Source organism: Homo sapiens, chromosome 6 (assembly GCF_000001405.40).
Source record: "Homo sapiens chromosome 6, GRCh38.p14 Primary Assembly".
NCBI classification, from domain to species: domain Eukaryota; kingdom Metazoa; phylum Chordata; class Mammalia; order Primates; family Hominidae; genus Homo; species Homo sapiens.
The window spans coordinates 63,078,691-63,081,283 of record NC_000006.12 but is presented as its reverse complement, the minus strand read 5'-3'; the positions used below and the strand labels follow the sequence as shown (position 1 = coordinate 63,081,283).

General features: G+C 44.7%; 1 annotated feature.

The window, feature by feature from the left end:
• Positions 413-914: an enhancer, noted in NCBI's record as "NANOG hESC enhancer chr6:63790275-63790776 (GRCh37/hg19 assembly coordinates)". NCBI's record gives its function as "activates a minimal SCP1, AML or CMV promoter by ChIP-STARR-seq in naive H9 embryonic stem cells {active_cell/tissue: H9 hESC(naive)}" and the evidence as "EXISTENCE:reporter gene assay evidence [ECO:0000049][PMID:30033119]".

The following is a 2,593-nucleotide window of genomic DNA, read 5'->3' as shown; positions in this document are numbered from 1 at the left end:
CTGACTGAAACAGAATGGGGACTTTCATGAGGGCATAGTTTTCTCCCCTCGGGGTGGTTAATGATGGAAGAGGGAAAGGTACTCATACCTGAAGCCAGCCAGTGGAAAATACTTAAAACCCTCCACCAAACTTTTCACATGGGTCTTGAGAACACTCGTCAAATGGCCAAATCCCTGTTTTCAGCACCAAATCTCCTCTGGACCATCCAACAAAGTAGTCAAAGCCTGTGAGATGTGCCAAAGGAATAATCCCTTGGTCCATCATAAGGCCCCTCTGGGGGAACAAGGAATAGGTCACTATCCCAGAGAGGACTGGCAGTTAGACTTCACCCGTATGCCTAAGTCAAAGGGATTTTAATACTTGTTGGTCTGTGTTGATACCTTTACAACTTGGATAGAAGCCTTCCCCTGCAAGACAGAGAAGGCTCAGGAAGTGGTTAAAGTCCTAATTCATGAAATAATTCCTAGATTTGGGCTTCCTCAAAGCTTACAAAGTGACAGTGGTCTGGCTTGTAAAGCCACAATAACGCAGGGAATTTCCAGGGCACTAGGGATACAATATCACCTTCACTGCGCCTGGAGGCCATAATCCTCAGGGAAGGGTGAGAAGGCAAATGAAACACACTCAAGAGGCACTTAAGGAAATTAACACAAGAAACTCATCTCACATGGCCTACTGTCTTGCCCATGGCCTTGTTGAGAATACAAAATTCTCCTCAAAAAATGGGGCTCAGTCCAATGAAATGCTGTATAGACGACCTTTTCTCATAAACGACCTCCTACTTGATCAGGAAATGGCCAACTTGGTCAAAGATATAACTTCTTTGGCAAAATATCAATGAAACCTCAAAAACTTACCTGAAGGATGTCACAGAGAAGAGGGAATGGAGTTGTTTCAACTGGGAGATCTAGTATTGGTCAAATCCCTCCCCTCTGCTGCCCCATCTATGGATTCTTTGTGGGAAGGACCATACTCAGTAATCCTCTCTACCCCCACTGCAGTTAAGGTGGCAGGAGTGTAATCTTGGATTCACCACACCCAAGTTAAAGTTTGGACACCCCCTGAGGAAACTGCGGGATCAACAGCTCAGGGGTCCCAAGATCAGCCAGACCAGCCTCGATACACCTGTGAACCATTGGAGGACTTGCATCTCCTATTTCAGAAGGAAACATCCCAGACTAAAAAGGCTTCTACCACTGATCCTGAGGAAAAACCCCTTCCACCTTAAAAAAGATAAGTGAAAACCTACATAATCTTTAACATCTCTCCCTGCTCCTTTAATGGAATCCTTTTACTGTTTCATCATATTAATAAGCAGCATACTAACCATGCTCTTTGCAATAGGACTATATACTGTAGCTCCTGCTGGGATTAAAATCCTAGTCACATCAACCTTCTTTCTATCATCCTTTCTTCTGACAGCAATTTACTCCTACCTTTAACTCAGACTGGATAAAATGATCTCATGTTCCAGGTCGCCCTCTTTACCTTCCTACTTACTCTTTGCCTATCTATCCCTCCCACTTCCTTGGATGCCCCAGACAGTTGCCCCTCCCCTTCCACTAGCTCCTAATTATCTCTACAAGACTTTCAACCCACTCTCTGTTAAACCAGTCCAATCCTTCCCTGGCAAATGACTGTTGGCTTTGTATCTCTCTATCAACCACTGCTTACGTTGCCATTCCTGTTCCTGCAAAAAACTGGGTCTTTACTAATTTAACCTACCACCCTTGTTATGAGGGAAAAGACCCTTCCAACTTCTAAATATGCAATCATTAGCTGACTTCCCCGTCTCTGATAGGACCAAGAATACCCTAATAGGATGTGCAATCCAACTTTTACGTTCTTACATTTCCAACCTCACCTATTACACAAGCAATGAAAAGCCCATACATGGCCCTGTAACCATGAATACCATCTTAACTTTCCAAGCTCCTTTATGCATCCAATACAGCCTGTTATTAGGCCTGCCCCTGGGGCACCTACTATCCCATCAGTGTAATTACACCCTACAACTTCAAGCCCTAACTGATCATAGCAACTTCCAAGTCACCCAAACAGCTCCATTCAAAAGACTTCTCAGGGCCACCAAAAATCATCACCTCCTCCCTGCTTAACAAACAGTCCAGGTTTTGTAATGGCAAACATACTCCCTGCATGACCATTCACCCCCAGACCTCCTGCAGCAGCACCCCCACCACTACTGAATGCCTTCTCATCCCCTCTTTCAATCACTCTCTCAAATGGTTCCTAGTAGATACAAAAAGGTTTTTTCTCCAATGGGAAAATAGAACACAGGGAGCCACTCAGTTTGCTCCCAACACCCCTTTCCAGCTGCTCACTGGAGCTACCTTGGCAAGTACTCTAGGAGTATGAGAAAATGAAAACAACAAACTCACACACCTTGTTAACATACACAACCAGTTCTGTCTACCCAGCCAAGGCATATTCTTCTTATGTGTAATTTCAACCTATATCTGCCTCTCCACCAACTGGACAGGCACCTGCACCTCAGTCTTCCTGAGTCCCAACATTAACATTGCCCCAGGAAATCAGACCCTATCATTTCCACTCAAAGCTCAAGTCCATCAG